Below are 24,428 nucleotides of genomic sequence, written 5' to 3'. Positions count from 1 at the left end.
CAGCCTGTAGAAAAAGCAAACTGTTTTCTCATCTGCTGTTTTCACATCTGCTCTCACATCATACCATAAAAGACTTCTGTGATCTCTCATCACCAAGAAATGAATGGAGATTTCTCCCCACCAACAACCAATCAATTAGTTCTGCAGCAGGGTCTTCAGCTGACACCAGCTGAGTATCCTCTAATTCAATTCAATTCTGACGCTGTTTACCTGGAGATGGCATTAGATCCCACCGGTTGAGGGCTCAGTCCCGCAAGACTGCCCACTACTTCTGATGCCAATTGTAAGCTCCATATTGTTTTACTCGTGCTTCTGACCAGTCAACAATACATTGGGCTTCCTAAAACACTCTCAATGGGTTTGATTTATTTGCTAAAGCAGCTCACAGAACTCAGGGAAACACATTTACTAGTTTATTGTAAAAGACATTACAAAGGTTACAGATAAAGGGATACATACGGTGAGTTATGAGGGAAGGCACATGGTGCTTCCATGCCCTCTCTGGGTATGGCACCCTCCAGGAACCTTCATGCATTTAGCTATCCAGAACATCCCCGAAGCCACCTGTTCTGGGTTTTTATCGAAGCTTCATTGTGTAGGCATGATTGATTAAATCATTGGCCGTGAGTGATCAACTTGACCTTCAACCCCCACCCCTTCCCAGAGGTTTGGGGGTGAGGTTGAAAGTCCCAACCCTCTAATGATGCTTTGGTCTTTGCAGTGACCAGCCCCCATCCCGAAGTTACCCAGGGCCTGCCAGTCACCAGTCAACTCATTAGTATACATAAAGACACTGATGTCTTTGGAGGTTCCAAGGATATTAGGAGTTGTATGACAGGAGACAGGGACAAAAACCAAATATATATTTCACAGTATCCCATAAAGCCTCAAAGGAATTGGAAAAGAAATTCTGATCCATGCTACAATATGAATAAGCCTTGAAAATATTTTGCTAAATGAAAGAAGCCAGACACAAAAGGACAAATATTGTATGACTCCTTTATTTTTTTGAGATGGAGTCTCGCTCTGTCACCCAAACTGGAGTGCAGTGGCGCGATCTCGGTTCACTGCAAGCTCCGCCTCCTGGGTTCCCACCATTCTCCTGCCTCAGCCTCCCAAGTAGCTGGAACTACAGGCACCTGCCACCATGCCTGGCTAATTTTTTGTATTTTTAGTAGAGACGGGGTTTCACCATGTTAGTCAGGATGGTCTCGATCTCCTGACCTCGTGATCTGCCCGCCTCGGCCTCCCAAAGTGCTGGGATTACAGGTGTGAGCCACAGCGCCCAGCCCTGTATGACTCCTTTTATATAGGGTAGCTAGAATAGTCAAATTCATGGAGACAGCAAGAACAATGGTGGTGTCCCCAGGGCTGGGGCAAGGGGGTAATGGGATGTTATTGTTTAATAGCTACAGATTTTCAGTTGGGGATGATGAAAAGTTCTGCAGATGGATAGTAGCACTGGTTGTACAACAATGTGATGTACTTAATGCCACTGAACTATATACATTTTAAACTGGTTAAAATGGTAAAATTTTATGTTATATATATTTTAACATAGTTTTAAAAAAAAGAACAACAACAACAAAAAAACAAAGACAGGGATAGTGGCTCAAGCCTGTAATCCCAGCACTTTGGGAGGCCGAGGTGGAGAGATCCCTCGAGGTTAGCAGTTCGAGACCAGCCTGGCCAACATGGTGAAACCCTGTCTCTACTAAAAATACAAAAATGAGCCAGGCATGGTGGGGCATGCCTGTAATCCCAGCTACTCGGGAGGCTGAGGCAGGAGAATTGCTTGAACCTGGGAGGCAGAGGTTGCAGTGAGCCGAGATCACACCACTGCACTCCAGCCTGGGTGACAAACGGAGACTCCATCTCAAAAAAAAACAAAAAAAAAAAAAAAAAAAAAAACAAAACTAATAGCCATTTCCCAAACATTACCAGCCCAATTTGTTGATAGCATGATGCTGAGTTTACTGTTTACCATAGTAAGGAAGAACACCACCTGAACAGAGCTTTGGGAATTCTCAGAAGGGGAAGGTAAGACCAAAATTTATTGATCCAGTAACTGGCCACTGAATATTAAAAATTTTTTTATTGAGAATTAGAAGTTTGGTTTAAGGCATTTCTTTCAATACAGGGTACTAGATAAGGGTTGAGTAGGAATCATAACACAACTGTAGGAGTGGAGGGAATGTTTCCCTCTCCCTACAAAGGTTTGACTCTGCTGAAATTAAATGACAATAGATTAACATGAGAAAAGGCATACAAATTTATTAATGTGCATAAGAATGGGAGTCATACAAAATATGAGACTCAAACAAGGACAAGATTGTTGAGGCTTAAATAACCTCTTCAGGGGTGTGCAGTGGTATACACCTGTAGTTTCAGCTAATTGAGAGGCTGAGGCAGGAGGATCCCTTGAGCCCAGGAAATGGAGACCAGCCTACACAGCAAGATCCTGTCTCAATAAATAAATAAATAAGAAAAGTTGCATGCTGGGCTTAATACCTAGGTTGATAGGTGCAGCAAACCACTGTGGCACACGTTTACCTATGCAACAAACCTGTACATCCTGTACGTGTACCCTGGAACTTAAAAATTAAAATTAATAGAAAAAGAAGGAAAGAAAAAAGCAAATCCTCTTCACAGGGGAGAGGAAAGATGTATAGATAATTTTGAGGGGTGGTAAATGATTTTCAGTGAAACTTAATGAGCCCAAAGAACAGACAATGGTCTGGGACAAAGTTCCTCTGAGTTCTGGGGGAGGTGGTGGCAAATTTTTGGAAGGTGAGGGGCAGAACTGCACTGTGAACAAGGGTTGTCTTATGCAGATAATGCCTCTCAGGTAAGCTCTTGGAGCTGTCCTCAGAAGAATAGAGGAGAAGTCTGTGTAGGTATGGTGAGGACTTTTAGTCTCTTTGCTTTTCTGGTAGTCTTTCCTGGTTGAGATTCCTAGGCTAGGAGGTCTTAAAACAATTGCAGTCCTTTTGGATAGAAATTTCTTCTGGTGGTTAATCTTTCCTGGTTATCTAATGAGATTCCTAGGATAGGAGGTCTTAAGACAATTGCAGTTCTTTTGGATAGAAATTTCTTCAGTCAGGCCAGGTGTGATGGTTCATGCCTGTAATCCCAGAACTTTGGGAGGCGAGGTGGGTGGATCACTTCAGGCCAGGAGTTTGAGACCATCTTGGAAAACATGGCAAAACCCTGTCTCTACTAAAAATACAAAAAATTGGCCAGGCGTGGAGGTGCGTGGCTGTGGTCCCAGCTACTTGGAAGGCTGAGGCACAAGAATTGCTTAAACTCAGGAGTCATAGGTTACAGTGAGCTGAGATCGTGCCACTGCAGTCCAGCCTGGGCAATGGAGCGAGACTCTGTCTCAAAAAAAAAAAAAAAAAAAAAAGTTGAAATGTTCTTATTCAGGTAAAGAAATTCCAGAGGGAATTCCTCTCTGTGCTTGGGGCTGGAGGAACAAGAGAAGGTTAGAAGCAGCTTCTAAGATCTTCTAATTTCTTTTGATTCAAAAGTGCTCAACATACCAAAGCACCTGTGTTAGTCCATTTTCACACTGCTATAAAGAAATACCTGCGAATGGGTAATTTATAAAGAAAGAGGTTCAATTGACTCATAGTTCCACATGGCTGAGAGGCCTCAGGAAACTTGAAGTCATGGTGGAAGGCAAAGGGGAAGCAAGGCACGTTTTACATGGTGGCAGGAGAGAGAGAGCGAGCACAGGGGAAACTGTCACTTTTAAACCATCAGAACTCTTGAGAACTCACGCACTATCTGAGAAAAGCATGCAGGAAACTGCCCCCATGATCTAATCACCTCCCATCAGGTCCCTCCCTCGACACATGGAGATTACAGTTTGAGATGAGACTTGGGTGGGGACACAAAGCCAAACCATATCAGCACCATACTTTAGAATATTGTTTTATGAGTCCCATACAATGGTCTAGGATTGGTGGAAACAGCAAGGCAAGGATTTTAAGAAGGATTTTTTTTTTTTTTTTTTTTTGAGACAGAGTCTTGCTCTGTCACCCAGGCTGGAGTGCAGCGGTGTGATCTCAGCTCCCTGCAACCTCTGCCTCCTGGGCTCAAGCAATTCTCCTGCCTCAGCCTCCCGAGTAGCTGGGATTACAGACACCTGCCATCATGCCTGGCTAATTTTTGTAGAGATGGGGTTTTACCATGTTGGCCAGGCTGGGCTTGAACTCCTGACCTCAGGTGATCCACCTGCCTCAGCCTCCCAAAGTGCTGGGATTACAAGTGTGAGCCACCATGCCCGGCCTTAAGAAGGATTTAAAGAATATTTTTTCAAAAAATAACTTTGAGATGTAACTCACATACCATACAATTCACCCATCTACAGTATACAATTCAGTGGTTTTTAGTATATCCACAGAGTTGGGCAAAAATTGCTACAACAAATTTGAGAACATATTCTTCATGCCAAAAAGAAACCCACTATACGTTTGCAGTCACTCCCCCTTTACCCAAACTCTTCCCACGACCACTACCACCAGGCAGCCACTAATCTACTTTCTTTCTTTTTTTCTTTCTTTTTTTTGAGATGGAGTTTCACTCTTGTTGCCCAGGCTGGAGTGCAATGGTGTCGTCTCAGCTCACTGCAACCTCAGCTTCCTGGGTTCAAGCCATTCTCCTGCCTCAGCCTCCCGAGTAGCTGGGATTACAGGTGTGTGCCACCATGCCCAGCTAATTATTTTGTATTTTTAGTCGAGACGGGGTTTCACCATATTGGCCAGGCTGGTCTCAAACTCCTGACCTCAGGCGATCTGCCCACTTCAGCCTCCCAAAGTGTTGGGATTACAGGCATGAGCCAATGCGTCTGGCCCTACTTTCTTTTTTAAATTAGAGACAGGGTCTAGCTATTTTGCTCTGGTTGGGCTCAAAGTTCTGGGCTCAAGTGATTCTCGTACCTCAGCCTCCCAAGTAGCTGGGATTATAGGCGTGCACCTCTGCACACAATATATGGTCCTTTGTGGCTGGCTTCTTTCACTTAGCATAATGTTTTCATGGTCCATGCATGTTATATTATGTATTAGCACTTTATTCTCTTTTATTGCAAAATAATATAATTCAAAGAATTGTAAGGTGCAGGCTGCCTATTGATGCTTTTTTGATGCTTGCTATTGAAGAGTTGATGGGTCTTTTGAGAAATTCCTGTAATGCAGAATCTAACCATTTGCTTGGGCAAGTCAGGAAAAGTACGAAATGCTAATAAAGACAGTGAAGTAGCAAAGTTTTTTTTTTTTTTTCTTTCCTGTAGACCTCCTCTGTGCTCAGCAGAGTCTTTTTATTGTAGGCAGTCCAGTATGGTTTTGGTTCTCAGTGATCAGGCTGAGGGAAAGAGGAGAGGATTGCTGTTCTCAGCATTCACTTCATAGGAATAATGCAAATAACATATTTAAAATGGTGCCTGAAATATATAAATTACTGAGTAAATGTAAATAGTTATTACTATCCATATCTAACATTGAAAGGGAAATTTCTTTTGATGTGCTTTTTGATATGTAGAGGCATAGCTGAAAACTAAAATGAGCCTATGTTCAAACCTTTACTAAAATAAATGTTTACCCTCTCAATTTAACCGAGAAGGTTTGCAGTGCACTGGAAAAAGTCAAGGTCTAGAAGTGCTTCTTCTTTTACCAGAAACAGAAAGATAATAGTGTTAAAAGATGTTAAACAAAAATTATAGGAGGCTATCATTTTGGACTAAATTCCTCCGCTAGGCCCCAGTAGACCAAACTAAAAATTAAAATGAAGTCATCTAAGCTTGCCAAACCAAAACTGACTTGTTATTTGGTCTTTCGAGAAACTGGGAGAAAAAAATTACAGACTAGTTTCCCAATAGGCCAGTTTCATTTAAAAAAATAAAATTTTAAAAAATTCTTGAGTTTATACTGGAGGAGAACCACCAGCAAAAGGCCAGTTTCCAGTTTCCATCTTCAGTGGGCATGATAATGAAGTTCTCTGTGTGTTTGTTTGTTTGTTTGTTGTTTTTTGTGTTTTTTTGTTTTTGTTTTTGTTTTTTTTGAGACAGAGTTTCGCTCTTGTTGCCCAGGCTGGAGTGCAATGTCGTGATCTCAGCTCACCGCAACCTCCGCCTCCCGGGTTCAATAGATTCTCCTGCCTCAGCCTCCTGAGTAGCTGGGATTACTGGCATGCGCCACCACCCCTGGCTAATTTTGTATTTTTAGTAGAAACGGGGTTTCTCCATGTTGGTCAGGATGGTCTTGATCTCCTGACCTCAGGTCATCCACCTGCCTTGGCCTCCCAAAGTGTTGGGATTACAGGCATGAGGCACTGTGCCCGGCCCCCTCTGTTTTAATTTTTACAAAAAAGAGTAAAGTGAAGTAACCTGATGTTAACCAGTCAATTATCTTTCTATTTTGTCTCCCTGTCCCTGCCTTACAAGGAAAGTAACTTTGAAATAACCACTCCCCCTTTTTTTTTTTTTTTTTGGAGATGGAGTCTCGCTCTGTTGCCCAGGCTGGAGTGCAGTGGTGCAATCTCTGCTCACTACAAGCTCCGTCTCCCAGGTTCAGGCCATTCTACTGCCTCAGCTTCCCAAGTAGCTGGGACTACAGGCAGCCACTACTACGCGTGGCTAATTTTTTATATTTTTTAGTAGAGACAGGATTTCACTGTGTTAGCCAGGATGGTCTCGATATCCTGACCTTGTGATCTGCCTGCCTCGGCCTCCCAAAGTGCTGGGATTACAGGCATGAGCCACTGCACCTGGCCCTTTTTTTTTTAAAATTTATACAGAGTCTCGCTTTGTCACCAGGCTGGAGTGCAGTGGTGTGATCTCGGCTCACTGCAACCTCCACCTTCCACGTTCAAGCGATTCTGCTGCCTCCGCCTCCTCAGTAGCTGGGACCACAGGCGTGCGACACCAGGACCAGCTAATTTTTTGTATTTTTAGTAGTGATGGGGTTTCACCATGTTGGCCAAGATGGTCTCCATCTCTTGACCTCGTGATCCACCTGCCTTGGCCTCCCAAAGTGCTGAGATTACAAGTGTGAGCAAGCGCACTGGGCCTTGATCTTTGTTTTTGCTTTCTTCAGCCCTTTATTCTGTCTATAAAGTGAACCTCCTCTGCTCGACTCATTGGAACATTTATTCTACTTTATGGACTAATGTGTTGTCTGATTATAGAATTGCATAAACCTAATTGAGATCTTTAAATTTGTTGTAATTTTCTCTCTTGACAAGGATAAATTTCAAAGGAGGTAAAATTGAACTATTGTACAGATAGTGAGGAACTCGTCATGAAAAACAAAAGGCATTCCTATCATTTAGGAAATGCCAAGAGTTTTGAGAGTTCTGTGCCAGGAGCTGGTGACAGAGACCACATGTAGCTGATACCTCAGGTTTGCTCTAAACAATGGCTTGTTTTCCACTGAAGAAACCCAATTAATCTCTTTTGCCTATTCCAAGTTTTCTTCCATATGCTAACATAAGTTATTTATTTATTTATTTTTGAGACAGAGTCTTGCTGTGTTGCCCAGCCTGGAGTGCAGTGGTGCCATCTTGGTTCACTGCAGCCCCTGCCTCCCAGGTTTAAGCAATTCTCCTGCCTCAGCCTCCCAGGTAGCTGGGATTACAGGCGTGTGCCACCATGCTGGGCTAACTTTTGTATTTTAGTAGAGACGGGGTTTGAGGTTTCCCCATGTTGGCCAAGCTGGTCTCGAACTCCTGACCTCAGGTGATCTGCCCACCTTGGCCTCCCAAAGTGTTGGGATTATAGGCGTGAGCCACCACGTCTGGCGTAGAACTTATATTTATTATTGTCCCCATTTAGATATGATGAAGTTGAAGCCAAAAAGTAATTGCTTTCCCAGGACAAATGGTGTGATGTTGGGGGATTTCCCTCTTCATGAATGTTTAGGAAAGCAATCTCTCTTATCCCGCCCTTTATCTTGACAACATCCAGGAAATTAAAGAAGAAATACATTCATGGCAGAATTAAAAATAAAGGCTCTGGACTGAATTTGCTGAGCCCAAGAATTGGAAAAGGCTTAAAGGAATTTCTCCTTAGTTAATTACAGGTTCAGGCTAATAGGATTTGTTTGACTTTTCATATTAAGCTATTAGAGCCTTTAGAGTTCAATAATTTGCTGAGACCTAAATACATCCTTTTAATTTTTTATTTTCAGTTTTTCAAAACAGCTTCGTTGAGATATAATTCACATTCTATACATTTCACCCACTAAAAGTGTATAATTCAGGCCGGGGACAGTGGTTCACTCCTGTAATCCCAGCACTTTGGAAAGCAGAAGGATTCCTTGAGACCAGGAGTTTAAGACTGGCCTGGGTAACATAGTTAGACCCTGTTTCCACAAACAATAATAAAAAAAAAATTAATGTATAATTCAATGGTTTTTGGCATATTCAAAGAGTTGTGCAATTATCACTATGATCTAGTTTTATTTTATTTTTTAAAATATGCATAAATACCTTTAATGATCTAATTTTAGATCATGTTTTTTGCCTCCAAAATAGACTGTGTCCATTAGCCATCGCTCCCATTCCTATCTCACTCCCCTAGCCCTAGGCAAACATTACTTTCTCTTTATTTTATTTCATTTTTAGACATGATCTCAGTCTGTCGCATATGCTGGAATGCAGTGGTGTAATCATACCTCACTACATCCTGCAAGTCCAGGGCTCAGGCAACTCTCACCTCAGCCTCCCAAGTAGCTGAGACCCCAGGCACATGCCATCATGTCCAGCTACTTTTAAAATTTTTTGTAGAGACAAGGTCTTGCTTTGTTGCCCAGGCTGGTTTCAAACTCCTGGCCTCAAGTGATCCAGTTGCCTCAGCTTCTCAAAGTATTGGGATTACAAAGGTGTGAGCTACCACACCTGGCCCAAACACTACTTTCTCTATAGATGCCTATTCTGGACATTTTTTAATTGCTTGATGGGGTCACCTTGCCTACTACACAGACAAAACCAATTCACTGAGACTGTGGTATTGTAGTAAAGAAAGAGTTTGACACTAGGCTAGCCATGTGGTAGACAGAGTTATTACTCAAACCAGTTTCCTGGAAGGCTCAAAGGTTATGGTTTTTCAAGGATAGTTTGGTGGGCAGGGGGCTAGGGAATGGGTGCTGATGACTGGTTGGGGAAGCAATCATAGGGGTGTGGAAAATGGCCTTTGTGTGCTGAGTTGGCAATTGGGTTGAGGGCCACAGGACCAGTTGAGTCATGAGTCAGGAGTCTAGGTGGTGTCAGTCTGAAAAACATCTCAAAAGATTCTACAACAGTGACTACAGAAGCAACTGGGGAAGTCACAAATTTTTCAACATCTGGCCACATGACTCCTGAGATGTAAGGGATTATAGAAACTATACCTACATTGCAGCAGATTTTGGGCCCCTCCCATAATCCTAATCTTGTGGCCTTTCATTAGTTTTACAAAGGCCCAAACAAGGAAGGGATTAGTTTTGGGGAGATACTCTTATCATCCTTGCTTCCAAGTTAAACTATAAACTAAATTCCTCCCATGGTTAACTTGGCCTATGCCCAGAAATGAGCAAAAACAGCCAGTCTGTGAGGCTAAAAGCAAGATGGAGTCTGCCATGCTAGACTTCTCTCACTGTCATAATCTTTGCAAAGGCAGTTTCAATTTTATGTAATAGAATTTTATTGACACAGAATGGCTTGGCTCCCGGCTAAATCCCCACTCTTAAGCCTGGAACCTCCATCCTAAGAAGAAGAAGCTGACTCTGTTTTTCCACCCAAATGTTGCTTTTTTGGCCTGCAGTACCCCTATCCTGTGCCCATAAAAAGACTAGCTGGCAGAGCAACACAAGTGGCTGATGCAAGTGGTTGGGGATGCAAGCTGCTGAGCACTGGGGGATGCAAGCTGCTGAGCACTGGGGGATGCAAGCGGCTGATGCAAACTGCCACCTTTATCGCCCAGTAAAATCTTCCACATACACTACCCTTCAATCCATTTGTGTGACCTGATGGTTATTCCTGGATGCCAGACAAGAACTCAGATGCTGAGAGAGTAGGGGCTTGGATGCTGCCGTAGGGCTTGTACAGAGCCTGCTCCTGCTAGGGAGGAGTGACTGGCTGGTTCCAGCCTTCGTTCCCTCACTTGCTTGCATGCTCCCTCTCACAAGGAGTGGTCAGCAGTGGCTGAGTTAAACGAGCCACTCCAGTTCCCACCCATGAAGGGGGTCAAAGTCAAGGGAACAATCCTGTCTCTGTGGTCTTCTATGTCTGCCTTATTTCTGCCTTCTTTCACTTCCATAATGTTTTCAAGGTTCATCTATGTTGTAGCATGTATCAGTACTTCATTCCTTTTCTGGCTGAATAATATTCTTTTGTATGACTACACCATATTTTGTTTATTAATCAGTTGATGGATATTTGTCTTGTTTCCATTTTTTATTATTATGAATAATGCTGTTATAAACATTCATGTACACATTTTTCTGTGGATGTATATTTTCATTTTGGGGGGGTATATTTATACCTAGGAGTGGAATGGCTGAGTTATATGATAATGCTATACGTTTTTTGAGAAATTGCTTTTTTTTTTTCTGGAGACAAAAGCTAGCTCTGTCGCCCAGGCTGGAGTGCAGTGGTGTGATCACAGCTCACTGCAGCCTCGACCTCCCAGGCTCAAGCAATCCTCCCACCTCAGCCTCCTGAGTAGCTGGGACTACAGATGTGTGCCACCATGCCCAGCTAATTTTTATATTTTTTTTTTTAGAGACAAGGTTCTGCCATGTTGCTTAGGCTTGTCTTGAACTCTCGGGCTCAAGCAATCCTTACACTTTGATCTCCCAAAGTGTTGGGATTACAGGCATGAGCCACTGTGCCTGGCCCAATTGCCATTTTTTATTGGCAGCTAATAAAAGTAGAAAGTTCAACATAACAAAATTCCAAATAAAGGAAACTGTGTTTCAAAAATGATGTTCTACAACTATGTGAGACAAACCAGTAACAACAAAAACTGTATATTTTAGAAAGAAGAAATAAATAATTTGATTTTGGAAATGTGAATGATTTTTTCTCTTATTTATTTTATTTTATTTTATTTTTTATTTTGGAGACGAAGTTTTGCTCTTGTAGCCGAGGCTGGAGTGCAATGGCGTGATCTCGTCTCACTGCAAACTCCACCTCCTGGATTCAAGCGATTCTCCTGCCTCATCCTCCTGAGTAGCTGGGATTACAGGCATGTGCCACCACGCCCAACTAATTTTTGTATTATTAGTAGAGACGGGGTTTCACCATGTTGGCCAGGCTGGTCTCAAACTCCTGACCTCAGATGATCCGCCTGCCTTGGCCTCCCAAAGTGCTGGGATTACAGGCGTGAGCCACCATGCCCGGCTACTTTATTTTTTAATTTTACACTAACATATATTTGTTTATATTTGAGAAAAATGAACTGAATTAAAAAAAAAAAAAGTGGCGTGGCCTAAGATAGTCTACCCAGGAAGAAACTCCAGCAGGAGAAAAGCAGTTTCTCTGACAAGATATCCAACTGAGGAGGCAGCAGGGCATGCCTTGCATTTTGCCAGTTTCCTTAATAGACAAAGAGCACAGATGTATTAGTGTATTTATGTATTAACATGATGCTCACAATGCGGTGTCTATGTGGACCCCATACTAGGCGAAACAATGGACTTGAACTAGTGCCAGGCGCCTCTCTCCCTAGGTTTAGGGGAAGGAGAACTTGAATAGATGCAGCAGGATTTGGTTCAAGGTCCAGCCTGGAGATACCAGAGTTAACAAGACCCCTTTTGCAGGATCTCCTGGGCTAAGACCAACTCTGTCCCTCCCCTCCCTTTTTTTTTTTTTTTTCTTTCCCTAGGAGCAATTTAGTTTCCCTTTCTCTTTTGGTAGATAAAAGCTGCCTGTGGGAATGCAGCAGCTCTTCCTAGTAACCATGGGAACCTTATTGGCATGGCAACCTGGCAGCCATAAGAAAGGCAGCTGGGGGGGTGGAGGGAAGGGAAGAGGTGGGAAGTAGTCCTTAGGAATAGGGGAGGGGGAAGCAGCCTTCCTTCCTGCAGAGGAGAGAAAAAGGAGGAAAGGAGGGCAGCTGGACCCAAGGAGAATCCGCTGATGAGTTCAAACCTCACTCCTTAATTCAGCTGAGGTGGGCCTTAGAGCAGGGCTGGGAGCCAAATGTGGAACTAAGATCTAAACCTATTGATATTTTTCTGTTCTGAAGTATAACTCAGGAACACCAAGAAAAGAGTAGGGGCTGGAGACACAGAGTAAATGATCCTACAACACGTGTGCAAATTTTGACGTCAAGCTTTGGTTGCAGGCAAAATACCACCCAGAGCTTTTTCGGGCTCTGGAGCCCAAGAACCTTTTATTAAAGATATCTAGGGACAAGGACATTTCCAAGCAGCACCTAAAGCAAGAAAAAAAAAATCTTTGCAATAATGTTGAGAATGTCTGGGAATATAGTAAAAGCAGAAACAAACAAATGAAGGGACCAAGAAACCCTCAGAAAGATAAAAAGTTTATTTTAAACTGAAACCATTTGAGCTACAGCAGATGCAGATAGAAATCATATCTGGACTTCCCTGATCTGACTAAAGCAGAGCCTCCCAAAATACGACTGCCATTAACCCCCCTTCAGGTTTGGGAGAATCCCCAGATTTGGTCTAATTCAGCTTCCAGCCAGAAAGAAGACTGTACATTAGCATCAGAATAAAAAAGCCCAATAGAATCTTCCATACATTCCCAATGAAGCCTTAACCACCATTCCCTTTTGTTAAACTGATGCAGTCACACGTACCCCTGGCTATTTTTGCCAGGGATTACCCTTTACTGAGTACTCCCCCATGCATGTGTAAATAATCCTTGTCTTTTCTTCTGTGGATCTGTCTATCATCAATTAATTTGCAGTCCCCCAAGCCCCAAACACACACTACAACATAGTTGGTGGAAGAAAAGACTTCCTTCCAACACAGACAAAAACCCATTAGGGAAAAATAACTATTGCAGAAGAAGGAGTGAGCAGCAGCGTGGTTAGCAGAGCCCTGCCAGTACTTGTTTTAGACTCAGCTAAAATCCTTCTCAGCATTTTTTTTTTTTTGCACTGGAGTCTCGCTCTGTCACCCAGGCTGGAGTGCAGTGGTGCAGTCTCGGCTCACTGCATCCTCTGCCTCCCAGGTTCAAGTGATTCTCCTGCCTCAGCCTCCGAGTAGCTGGGATTACAGGCGCCCGCTGCCACACCCAGCTAATTTTTGTATTTTTAGTAGAGACAGGGTTTCACCATGGTGGCCAGGCTGGTCTCGAACTCCTGACCTCAGATAATCTGCTCGCCTCGGCCTCCCAAAGTGCTGGGATTACAGGCGTGAGCCACAGCGCCTGGCTCATTCTTGTTTTTTTTGATGAACATAGTGGGAACGTGGCTATCCTGAACTTTGGAGTCAGATGGCTCTCTGGGTTAGAACTCCTGCCTTACCCCTTCTTAGCTGTGTGAGCCTTGAACAAATTATCCCATCCCTGAGAGCCTGTTTTCTCATTTTCCTAAACAAAGGGTAATCATACATACTTTATAAGGTCATTGTGCAAATAAAATGAGATGAAAAGTTTAACAAACAGTATTGTTAGGTAAAGCTCCTTACATAGTAAGCACATAAATGGCTGCTCTTGTTACGCTGCTTGCTTTTTAGAAATGAATCTGTTTGGGTAGTAGTGTAGCATCACCTGAGACCTGACTAAGCTTTTGTTTGCTTATTTGTTTAAGATTCATTGACTTTTTAAAAAATCACACTTTTACTGAGATATAATCACATACCATAAAATTTACCTTTTCATTTATTATTTAGAGACAGGGTCTTGTTCTGCTGTGCAGGCTAGAGTGCAGTGGTGTGATCACAACTCACTGCAGCCTCTACCCCTTAGGGTCAAGTGATCCTCCTGCCTTCTTAGTCTCCCAAGTAGCTGGGGCCACAGGTGTGTGCCACCCTACCCAGCTAATTAAAAAAAAACTTGTTTGTAGAGATGGGGTCTTGCTATGTTGGCCAGTCTGGTCTTGAACTCCAGGATTTAAGCAATCTTCCTGCTTTGGCATTCCAAAGTGCTGGGATTATAAGCATGAGCCACAGCATCCAGCCACACTTTTTTTTTTTTTTTTTTTGAGATGGAGTTTTGCTCTTGTTGCCCAGGCTGGAGTGCAATGGCGCAATCTTGGCTCACTGCAACCTCCGCCTCCCAGGTTCAAGTGATTCTCCTGTCTCATCCTCCCAAATAGCTGGGATTACAGGCATGTGCCACCCCATTTGGCTAATTTTGTATTTTTAGTAGAGACAGAGTTTCTCCGTGTTGGTCAGGCTGGTCTTGAACTCCCGACCTCAGGTGATCCGCCTGCCTCGGCCTCCCAAAGTGCTGAGATTACAGGCGTGAGCCACCACGCCCAACCAGCCACCCTTTTAAACTACACAATTCAGTGGCTTTTAGTATAGTCACAGAGTTGTGCAACAATCACATAACTACTTCCTTTTACTATCTACCACAATTTAATTTTAGTGCATTTTCATCATCCCACCCCCCGCCACACACACACCCTGCCAAACTAAAGAAACCACACATCCGTTAGCAGTCACTCTCCACAGCCCCTGGCAACCACCAATCTACTTTATGTTTCTATTGTGAAAAGAAATTACATTTTGGGACCCCAGAGTCATTTAGCCAAAGGGAAAAGTCAAAAATCAGATATGCATTTGTGTCTGGCAGGCCTGTACCTGTAAAGATAACCTATCAATTTGCATGCCACAGTGATGTTTTAGCAGCTCACCAGGAATTTCCTTGTGGGCAAAATATGGGGAAATTCCCAGTGAGCTGTTAAAACGTCACTATGGCAATGCAAATTGTTAGGTCATCTTTACAGGTGCAGGCCTGCCAGACACAAATGAATATCTGATTTTTCCCCTACTCCATTTTGTCTGTGTTATCTTATGTAAAATGCAGATTCCCCACATTTTTCCTTTGCCCCTTTTGCTTATGTGAAAACTGTGTGCTTCTCAATATCCCACCCTTTCCCCCTTAAATTTGGAGCCTCAAAATCATCTTCAGAGAAAGGCATAGACCTGTCTCCAGGATGCGTCCTTAACTTTGGCAAATAAATCTAAAATGATTGAGACTTGTCTCATCATTTTCTTCAATTGACACTATGTAGACATTTCATGTACATGAAATTACGTACCATGTGCCTTTCTGTGTCTGCTGTCTTTCACTCAACATAATGCTTTCAAGCTTATCTGTGTTGTAGCATTGTATCAGTATTTTGTTCTTTTTATGGCTGAATGACATTTCATTGCATGGATATACCACAATTTGTTTATCCATTTATCCCTTGATGGACATTTGGGTTTGTAGGAGTGAAAGGAACTCTCCTTCCACCCTTTAAAGGCTCGATAATCTCTGGAATAAACTTGACAGTAGACAGATTAACAGGAGAAAAGGCATACAAATTTATTACATGCATATGTATAGGAGTTCCACAAAATATGAGACACAAAGGAGGGCCAGATGGTTGAAGCTTAAATAGCATTGTGAGCTACAGAAAAAATTAGCTTGGCACAGTGGCTCACACCTGTAATCCTAGCACTTTGGGAAGCTGAGGTGGGAGGATGGCTTGAGCCCAGTAGTTCCAGATCAGCCTGGCCAATGTGGCAAAACCCTATCTCTACCAAAAATGCAAAACTTAGCTGGGTGTGGTGGCATGCCCCTGTAGTTCCAGCTACTCAGGTGGCTGAGGTAGGAGGATCACTTGAACCAGGGAGATCAAGGCTGCAGTGAGTACAGTGAGCTGTAATTGCACCCACTGCACCCCAACCTAGACAACAGAGTGAGACCCTGTCTCAAAAAAAAAAAAAAAAAAAAAAAGAATTAGAAGCTTAAAGACTCCTGGAGGGTGGTGGCAACAAGCTGTGGGAGAGTGAGGGGAGGAAGAGCACTGCAAGCAAAGGTTGTCTTATTATGCAGAAGAAGTCTCTCAGGTAGCTCTCAGAAGCATAAGTGAAAAGTCTGTCTGGGCATGATGTCCTAGATGTGGAGACATTTAGTCTCCTCTCTTAGAGATCATATAGATTCCAGGGAGTGAGTTCATGACACTTCATTTCTTCTGGAGGGATTTCTCTTAGTCAGATAAAGGAAATGTCAGAGAAAGTGCTTCCCTATGCTTTGGGAGAAAAAGAGAATCAAGACATAGTAAGCAGGGAAAGGTCAGAGAGACCTTGGTTCTGAGGCCCTTTCCTTTAAAAAATTTTGTTTTGCTTTTTTTTGTTGTTGTTGTTTTTTGTTGTTGTTTGTTTTTTTGAGACAGGATATTGTTCTGTCACCCAGGCTGGAGTGCAGTGGCACCATTACAGCTCCCTGCAGCTTCACCCTCCCAGGCTCAAGTGATTCTCCCACCTCAGCCCCCCAGGTAGCTGGGACCACAGGCATGTGCCACCATGTCCAGCCCATTTTTAAATTTTTTTGTAGAGACAGGATCTCACTATGTAGCCCAGGCTGGTCTTAGGCTCCTGGGCTCAAACAATTCTTCCCACCTTGGCCTCCCAAAATGCTAGGATTACAGGTGTGAGCCATTGTACTCTGCCAGAGGCTGCTTCTTTAGTTCAAAGTACTCAGCATTTCAAAATGCCATATTTTCTGACCCCCAAAAGGTTGTTTCAACTTTTTTGGTTATGATGAATAAAGCTGCTATGTACATTTGTGAACACGTTTTTGTGTGTATGTATTGATCAAGTTTTATTTAATGATTTATCAGGCCTCATGGCCTACGTGATATGATCAGGTAAAGGAATGGGAAATATAAAAGAGCAGCTGATGCTCTTTTGTTCTTGTGTTTCCAGTTGGAGTGGCGAGCCACTCTCACCACCTCTAGTTTCTTTTTCTTAACCTACTTTGCAAGCCACTCTCATGTCCTGTGTCAGCTGGGGTGTGAGTTTTCATCCCAATTGGTGAGCCACGCTCGCTGCCCCAGCCCCTCTGGGTCGGATTAATAGTCACGCCCCTGGACATGATCAGGCTCCTCTTCTGTCCTTATGGGACAGGTCCTGCCTTGGGACTCAATACTTGACCGTGGTTCCTGAAGCACACTGTTTCTGGAATTGTCCTGTAGCCTCTCAAGTTTTGTTGTGCTGCTGGTTAGGGGTGCCGGGTCACAGGAGAGCTGATTTCCTTTCTGGGCTGAAGTTCTCCCGGCGGCGCCTGGGGTCACAGGTTTCCTTTGACCTGGGGCTCCAGCCCCACAGGCAAAGGAGACAGTAAATCTGCCATCTCCACTCCTCCTGGCTGGCTCTCCAAGAAATGTTGCGGGACACAGAGGACTAGAGAGACTAGTACGGGTGAATACAGGAGGATATTTATTTTAAGGTACGCACTGGCTCAGCTTTTTAGATGTGAATCCACTGAGCCATTGTGTACCTTAAAATAAATACCTCTTGTATTCACCCGTACTAGTCTCTCTAGTCCTCTGTGTCCCGCAACAATTCCTTCTTTAGAAATTTTCTGCTGGCTACACCTTCCTTTTTCTTCCTCCTATTTTCTTTTCTTTTCTTTTTTTTTTTTTTTTTTGAGACAGAGTCTTGCTCTGTCACCCAGGCTGGAGTGCAGTGGGGCGATCTCGGCTCACTGCAAACTCTGCCTCCTGGTTTCAAGTGATTCTCCTGCCTTAGCTTCCTGAGTAGCTGGGATTACAGGTGGCTGCCACCACACCTAGCTAATTTTTATATTTTTAGTAGAGATGGGTTTTCACCATATTGGCCAGGTTGGTTCGAATTCCTGACCTTGTGATCCACCTGCCTCAGCCTCCCAAAATGCTGGGATTACAGGCATGAGCCACTGTACCGGCCTCTTACTCCTGTTTTCACTCTCCCTATAGAGCAGTTGGTTTCAGGGGATATCCAGATGTGACACTCTGAAATGCTCACAGAAGATACTCTTAAAGTGTGGAGGAGAGGGAGAAGAAAGACAACAGCACATAAAAATCAGACTTATTATTCAAGAACAATTAAAATATCATTTAGAAACATTCTTTTTTTTTTTTTTTTTTAGATGGAGTCTTGCTCTTGTCACCCAAGCTGGAATGCAATGGCATGATCTCGGCTCACTGCAACCTCTGCCTCCTGGGTTCAAGCAATTCTCTACCTCAGCTTCCCGAGTAGCTGGAATTACAGGCGCCTGCCACCACACCTGGCTAATTTTAGTATTTTTAGTAAAGATGGGATTTCACCACATTGTCCAGGCTGGTCTCAAACTCCTGACCTCAGGCGATCCACCCGCCTTGGCCTCCCAAAGTGCTGGGATTACAGGCGTGAGCCACTGTGCCTGGCCAGGAACATTGTTTTAAACTTTTTTTTTTTTTTAATTAACACAGGGTCTCACTCTATCACCCAGGAGGGAGTACGGTGGTGTGATCTCAGCTCATTGCAACCTCTGCCTCCCAGGCTCAAGTGACCCTCCCACCTCAGCCTCCTGAGTAGCTGGAACTACGGGTGTGCACCACCACACTCAGCTAATTCTTGTATTCTTTTTGTAGAGATGGGGTTTTGCCATGTCACTCAGGCTGATCTCAAATTCCTGAGCTTAAGTGATACACCTGCCTCGGCCTCCCAAAGTGTTGGGATTACAGGCATGAGCCAGTGCACCTGGCCATGTGTCAAACTTTTTTAGAGACAGAATATATATACTAAAAAGTACACAACTTAATTAATTATCACTGACACAAATTATTTGGGAATTGCATATCTCCACCAAGGTAAGGATAGGTAAAGTGTTACCAGTGCTAGGGCTCAGAAAATGATACCTCAAAATATGAAGCTTTGGCAGGCTGAGTGCTTTGAACAAAAGAGATTGAAAGGTCTTAGAAATAAGACTTAGAACAAAGCTCTCTCTGTGACCTCCTCCTTCCCTCTTTTCCCTTAGGAAGTGCAGTGAGAGGTCATCTCTGAAATTCCTTTATCTGGCCGTGTGTGGTGGTTCACACCAGTAATCCCAGCACTTTGGGAGGCTGAGATGGGTGGATCACCTGAGGGCAGGAGTTCGAGACCAGCCTGGCCAACATGGTGAAACCCCATCTCTCCTAAAAATACAAAAATTAGCTGGGTGTGGTGACAGATGCCTGTAACCCCAGCTACTCAGGAGGTTGAGGCAGGAGAATTGCTTGAATCCAGGAGGTGGAGGTTTCAGTGAGCCGAGATTGGGACATTGCACTCCAGCCTGGGTGACAAGAGCAAAACTCTGTCTCAAGCGAAAACAAAAACAAACAAATAAACAAACAAACAAAAAGGCTGGGTGGTGGCTCACACCTGTAATCCCAGCACTTTGGGAGGCTGAGACAGGTCGATCACGAGGTCAGGAATTCAAGACCAGTTTGGCCAACATGGTGAAACCCTGTCTCTACTAAAAATACAAAAATTAGCAGGGTGTGATGGCAGGCACCTGTAATCCCAGCTACTTGGGAGGCTGAGGCAGAGAACTGCTTGAACCAGAGAGCTGGAGGTTGCAGTAAGCCGAGATGGCGCAACAGCACTCCAGCTTGGGCAACAGAGTGAGACTCTGTCTCAAAAAAAAAAAAAGAAAGAAAGAAATTCCCTTATCTGACTGAGGGGAGTTCATCCAGAAGGAATGCAATTGTCTTGGGCCCTCTTCCTGGGATTTACATTAACTAGAGAAGATTAACTTGTATTGAAGGAAAGAAAAGTAAAAGTTTCTATGCCCAGGACACCATCCTTTGACAGACTTTTCACCTATTCCTTCTACTTATTCTTCTAAGGGCTAATCTGAGATATTTTATCTGCATAATAAGATAGCCTTTGTTCTCAGTGCAGTTCTGCCCCCAAACTTCCTGTAACTTGTTGACACTTCTCACAAAGCCCAGCGGAGTTTTGTGCTGGGCTATCGTCTGCTCTTTGGGCCCACTCAGTGCTCCTAAAAACTCATTTCTTCTTCTTCTAAAATTGCCTACATCCCTCACTTCCCTCTCCTCTATGAAGAGGGTATTTAAGCTTCAACCATCTGGCCCTTCTTTGAATCTCATATTTTGTGGCTCCCATGCACACTTACACATTACTGAATTTGTATGCTTTTTTTCTCCTGCTAATATGTCTATTGTCAGTTTATTTCAGCAGAATTAAGGACGCAAACATTCAGAGGGGGAGGAAAAAATTTTCTTTACCCCTACACCAGATAAAATAGAGATACAGCATGCCAAGTTATATTTGAATTACATATAAACAATGAGTAATTTTTAGTATGAATCTGTCCTATGCAATATTTGTGTGATATTTATTTAAAAAAAATTACTCATCACTTATCTGAAATTCAAATTTAACAGGGTGTCCTATATTTTTATTTGGCAAACCCAGCATCCTAGAATGGGAAATTAAAGAATATCCAATGGATATAAGTCATGAACTTTTTCTTTTTATGACTAAGTAGCAATTGAGGTTTGGTTAGAGAAAATTTCTGAATAAAATGGAACTGAAGTTAATTCATAGATTTCACTTTCTTTGCTTTCTATCTAGGATTTTGTACAACTAAGTATTGTTTTGTCTCACATTCTCACAATATCCCTATGAAATATATAGGAGTCTACAAATTGAAAAACAAAGGCAAAGATATTAAAAAACCATCTATGATACCTGAATGAATTTGGGGTCAATTTAAACAAAATTGGGACAGTTTGGGGATCCGTTTTTAAAGAAAAGAGTTTAGATTCATGAAATTTATAACCAGGAAAGGATTTTATTGTAAGCCCTTTATATTATACCAGAGGAAATTGAGGTTTAGAAAACCTAAGTAATTTTCCCTGGTCACAAAGCTAGCTAATGGTAAAGTTGACACTTAAGTCCGAAACTCCTGACTCCTAGCCTGTGGAGCTTTTCCCAGTTACCAAGGTCATGTATTCTTCTCCTTCTTCTCCCTTACCTTTAGTTTTCCTCTCTTTTAATGCACTAGATATTAGATCTACCATAATCACACAATTATGTGGAACACTAAACTGGGAATTTTTTCTGGTCTTGCAAGTAGTAGAGACCTGGATTACTTAATGTGGATCAATTTTTTTCTGTTCGAAACAAGTTTACAAAAGGATTTAAGAATAATTTCTATTCATTTCTTTTAGCTATAAACAAAGGTGCCACTATTAGACTTTGGGATAATCTTTTCTTTTCTAATAGGTCATGAATGAGCTTTCTTTGATTTATACATTTTGCATTGCATTCATGTCCAAGCATTATACCCAAAGAACAAATTCTTACCCTGGAAAGAATCTGGATTTATTTGACTCTGCCAATCTACAAAATCAGCTGACTTTGATCATAGATGCCAAGCCTCTCAAAGCTTTTGGTTTTATGTTCATTCTCTATCCAACGGCTTTTCTAAGACAGTGGTAAGCACTCCATAGTTCACTTCTCATGTGCCCCTGGGTATCTGATCAATATCCAACAATGAATTTTTTTTCTCTCATAGCTTTCCAAAACCCAGTTTCAATGCCATACCATGTCAAGAGTTTTTCAGGATATCATTTCCTCTACATAGTCTTTTTTTTTTGATATGGAGTCTTGCTCTGTCACCCAGGCTGGAGTGCGGTGGTGCAATCTCGGTTCACTGCAACCTCCACCTCTTGGGCTCAAGCGATTCTCCTGTCTCAGCCTACCGAGTAGCTGAGATTACAGGTGCCCACCACCACACCCAGCTAATTTTTGTATTTTTAGTAGAGATGGGGTTTCACTGTGTTGGCCAGGATGGTTTCAAACTCCTGACCTTAGGTGATCTGCCCTCCTCAGCCTCTGAAAGTGTTGGGATTACAGGTGTGAGCCAGCAAACCTGGCCATTTCCTCTATATATTGGTTTTTTTTTTTTTTTTTTTGAGATGGAGTCTCGCTCTGTTGCCCAGGCTGGAGTGCAATGGCGTGACCTCGGCTCACTGCAACCTCCACCTCCTGAGTTCAAGCAATTCTCCTGCCTCAGCCTCCTGAGTAGCTGGGATTACAGGCATGTGCCACCATGCCTGGCTAATTTTTTTTGTATTTTTAGTAGAGATGGGGTTTCACCATATTGGCCAGGCTGGTCTCAAACTGCTGACCTTGTGATCCACCCACCTCAGCCTCCCAAAGTGCTGGGATTTACAGGCATGAGCCACTGTGCCCAGCCCTTCCTTTATATATTCTTAAGGGAGCTGTTGAAGAAAAAATTATTCAATGATTCTTGTTTTTTTTTTTTTTTTTTTTTTTTTGAGATGGAGTCTAGCTCTGTGGCCCAGGCTGGAGTGCAGTGGTGCAATCTTGGCTCACTGCAAGCTCTGCCTCGCGGGTTCACGCCATTCTCCTGCCTCAGCTTCCCGAGTAGCTGGGACTACAGGCGCCCGCCACCATGCACGGCTAATGTTTTTTGTATTTTTAGTAGAGACAGGGTTTCACCATGTTAGCCAGGATGGTCTCGATCTTCTGACCTCGTGATCTGCCCGCCTCAGCCTCCCAAAGTGCTGGGATTACAGGCGTGAGCCACCACGCCCGGCCTCAATGATACTTGTTAAAGCACAGTAAAGTAAACTTTATTGAGGACCACTGCAATAAGCATAGGGACCACTGCAATAGGATTCTGCAGTGGGGAACAAAGATTGGGCTCAACTCTGAAATAGATGGACAAGTGGGAATTTATAGCCAAAAACAGGACAAGGATCAGTGGATGAAAAATTACTAGGTGGAAACATCAGGGATAAGGGGGATTCTGGCTAAAGCAACCTAACAGGATTTTTGCTGAAGATAGGCCAGGGTGGTCAGACATCACCTGGGGGATGGTAGAGGATGAGGACCCTGATCAGATATTGGGGGTAGAGGGTTCTTGCTAAACTTCACACGGTTCTTGCTGAAACTGGATTTTATAAGGAAGTGCACAGATTGATCTAGGGGAAGGTTCAGGAGCCTGACTAAAGATTTGTCAAGCAAAGAATCTTTGTCAGAGCAACCTGGCTCAGCACACCTCTTCTTTGGGACTTGGTGTTCTGTGTTATTAGGCTCTCACCTCGTAGAATGTGACAACTAGAAGAGATTGGCTTATTTAAATCTTGGCGAAGTGAGACTTTGGGGATAATGTGGGTCCTTTGCTCATCATGTTCACAGGGTTGAAAATGCAGTCATGGCTCAAAGTTGAGGCCTTAAAGAGGACAGAGGTGGCCCTGGGCAGTATTTGCATGGCTTGCTGGGCCCTGGGGGTTTGCTGGTAGTGAAGTGATTTTTATGTGGCTGGACTGGTGCAGTGAAATGCTAATGTTCTTTGGCATTTCTGTTTCCTCAAGGTCACTTCTGAATCACAACTCTGATTACCAGGGCATCCTGGGGATAGCAGAAAATAGAGAAGATTAGTCTGAGATAGAGGGGAGTGGGAATCAGTCCTCAGGGGTTTGCAGAGATAAAGTCCCTGCTTGAACTGGGGGGTCTTAAGAAGAATAAAAATCTAACTTAAAAGTGAGCTCACAGAGCTGAGCCATCTCAAGAGTGCTGCCCTCTGCCCCCCACCATGGCACTGTCGACTGGGCTCTATTTCCTATAGAGTAAGAGACAATAATAGCCTATGCCTTCCCTCATTCACCCAGGGCATATGCTGATCTGTGCTGATGAATCACTTGGTAGCCACAGAGAATTGAAGATTAATGATATGTTTGTTTGCTTGTTTTTCCTGGGCCACTGTAGGTCTAAAAGCTTCCCACAGTGGGGACCTCATTTTCTATTCCTATTAAAATTTGTGGTTCTCTTTTCTTTTTTCTTTTTTCTATTGAACAACCAGATTCCAGAGGGTCTCCTTTTTTGAAATATCCAATTCTCTTCTTGTGTAGAAAAAACAATTGTCAACATATTTGCACTTATGGGAATTTCCAGTTCCTTCTTTTCTTCCTTCCTCTTTCTCTTCTTTTGGTATATATATTTATTTTATTTATTTTTAAAAAACTTTTCATAGAGATGCAGTCTCACTGTGTTGCCCAGGCTGGTATCAAACTCCTGGGCTGAAGCAATCCTCCTGCTTCGGCCTCCCAAAGTGCTGGGACTACAAGCATGAGCCACCACCCCTGGCCCTTTCTACCTCTTTTTCTTTTTGACAAGGTGCACTTATGGGAATTTCCAGTTTGTCCCTCCACTCCTTTCTCCTCTCCTCCATTCCCCTCTACTCCCAGCCTCCCCTCCCCGGGGACCCCCGCGCCAAGCCTTCCTTTCGTATTTAAAGACAAGGTCTCACTATGTTGCCCAAGCTGGAGTGGAGCAGGCATTCACAGGTAAGATCATAGCACACTGCAGCCTCAAACTACTGGGCTGAAGCAATCTTCCTACCTCAGCCTGAAATTCCCAGTATCTTAAGTGATCTCATTCATTTACTCTATTTGTCAACTAGTTTGTGTATTTTGTGTT

This window comes from Homo sapiens, chromosome 11 (genome assembly GCF_000001405.40).
Source record: "Homo sapiens chromosome 11, GRCh38.p14 Primary Assembly".
Taxonomy (NCBI): domain Eukaryota; kingdom Metazoa; phylum Chordata; class Mammalia; order Primates; family Hominidae; genus Homo; species Homo sapiens.
This window is presented reverse-complemented; position numbering follows the sequence as displayed.